The sequence below is a fragment of the Homo sapiens genome, chromosome 5 (genome assembly GCF_000001405.40).
Source record: "Homo sapiens chromosome 5, GRCh38.p14 Primary Assembly".
In the NCBI taxonomy this organism is placed as follows: Eukaryota; Metazoa; Chordata; class Mammalia; order Primates; family Hominidae; genus Homo; species Homo sapiens.
Window position 1 is genome coordinate 44,959,823 of NC_000005.10, and position 1,385 is coordinate 44,961,207.

At 35.4% G+C, this 1,385-nt stretch overlaps 1 annotated feature.

Annotated features, from left to right (window-relative positions):
• Positions 312-528: a silencer, noted in NCBI's record as "fragment chr5:44960236-44960452 (GRCh37/hg19 assembly coordinates)". NCBI's record gives its function as "represses an EF-1alpha promoter that drives an FKBP-Casp9 reporter gene in an ReSE screen in phorbol 12-myristate 13-acetate-treated (for megakaryocytic differentiation) K562 erythroleukemia cells {active_cell/tissue: K562(+PMA)}" and the evidence as "EXISTENCE:reporter gene assay evidence [ECO:0000049][PMID:32094911]".

Genomic DNA, 1,385 nt, shown 5'->3' on the forward strand with positions numbered 1-1,385 from the left:
TTTATTTGTTTGCTTTTTAATAGGTTTATTTGTTATTTATTTGTTTGCTTTTTAATGCCAGTGTATGGCATTTTCTGTGGCAGCCCAGGCTGACTAATACAATGTTCCATTCTTTAAAAACACTAATTTTGGAGAACTAAAATAAAAATTTAAAACCCTCTGCTTTTTGATACTAGATGTTTGATTGCCTCTAACGTATGCATTTAAGTGGCAAGATTTTAACGTAAATAAAAGATTTTACAAATCTGACATTCTCACAGAACTTTCAGTTGAAGAACATTTTCATATGCAAGCCAGGCATGGTGGCTCATGCTTGTAATCCCAGAATTTTGGGAGGCTGAGGATCACCTGAGGTCAGGAGTTGGAGACTGCCTGACCAACATGGTGAAATCCCGTCTCTATCAAAAATACAAAAATTAGCTGGGCATGGTGGGGGGCACCTGTAATCCCAGCTACTCGGGAGGCTGAGGCAGGAGAATCGCTTGAACCCAGGAGGTGGAGGTTGCAGTGAGCTGAGATCGCCCAAGTGCACTCCAGCCTGGGTGACAGAGCAAGACTCCATCTCCAAAAATAATAATAATAATAATAATAAAATAAATATGCAAGGTTTCCTTCTGGATATTTGTTTCCCTTTGCAATTAAAAATTTAAATTTTCCTTTAGAATTTATTTCTAACAGAGAAGGGGAAAATGACAAAGTAAGATATAAATGAAGCAACTGGATTAACATACATATCTTGAGCAAAAGAGTATATAGCTTTCAGGCTCTTTTAACCTTTTTTATCAAATTTATCCAGAAAACTCTCGCAATATTATAGCATCTATGTATCACAGCTGAAGAATAAATATTGGCTAATTTGTCTTTGCAGGGAAGAACACTTACCTAATCATAATTTATAGTTTTGTTTACCTTTCCATTGTGAAAGCTAATTATTTGTCTGAACAAGAGTTTCTCCCCTATTAAGCCACTGGTGAGTAAAGACGCAATTTAAATTTTACTTGTGTATTCAGTTCACAAGCTTTATAACTCCCATTAGGGAATCAAATCCCTTCAGGATTTTTGTGAATGTTTACCCCTAGCAGAGGTAAATGACCAGTCTTCAATTTTAAATCATGGCTAGCAGAAGCTATAGTAAAGCATCAAAGAAGACCAAAACCCAAGTCACTTGGTTTTCAACACTCAGTTGTGTGACCATGACAGCAAATTATTAGCCTTGTCATTTAAATAGCTTTATTTGAAATGAATATAGAAAAAAAACCTCCTTCTTATTCTATTACCATATTGCTGTGGATTATCTCCGGTAATTAAAAACAGCCCCTATTCCATTTTGGAGCTTCCAGGCTAGAAGTAATTTTCTGTTTTTTACATTTTTTTTTCTGCAAAAA